This window comes from Homo sapiens, chromosome 2 (assembly GCF_000001405.40).
Source record: "Homo sapiens chromosome 2, GRCh38.p14 Primary Assembly".
Classification (NCBI taxonomy): domain Eukaryota; kingdom Metazoa; phylum Chordata; class Mammalia; order Primates; family Hominidae; genus Homo; species Homo sapiens.
The window spans coordinates 80,709,112-80,709,790 of record NC_000002.12 but is presented as its reverse complement, the minus strand read 5'-3'; positions in this window follow the sequence as shown (position 1 = coordinate 80,709,790).

Below are 679 nucleotides of genomic sequence, written 5' to 3'. Positions count from 1 at the left end.
TTCCTTGCAGTTGTTAGGACTAAAGTCCCCAGCTTCTACAGGCCTGTCCTCATTGTAGGCAGTTCACAGCATAAATTTTTGTTTAAGGGCAACAGAAGAGTACCTCTCTGTTTAGAAAGGTCCATGTCCATCTTTTAAGAATTTTTACCTGTATTCACTATGTCTACGAGTTGAATTGTTTTGACTTTTAGATCCCACAAATAAGTGAGAACATGTTTTCCTTTCTGTGTCTGCCTTATTTCACGTATCATAACGATCTCTATTTCTATCCATGTTGTTGCAAATGACAGGATTTCGTTAATTTTTATGAGACAGTAGTACTCCATTGTTTATATGTACCACATTTTCTTTATCCATTAATCTGTTGATAGATTCTTAGGTTGCTTTTAAATCTTAGCTATTGCGAACAGGACTTCAAAACACACAGGAGTGTACATCTCTTCAATATACAGATTTCCTTTCTTTTAGGCATATACCCAATAGTGTGATTGCTGGATCATATGGATGCTAAATTTTTAGTTTTTTGAGGAACTTCCAAACTGTTTTCCACAGTGGTTGTATGCTTGAGGGGGTGAATACCCCATTCTCCACAATGAGATTATTTCACATTGCACACCTATGTCAAAACATCTCCTCTACTCCATAAATATATACACCTACTATGTATTCACAAAAGTTT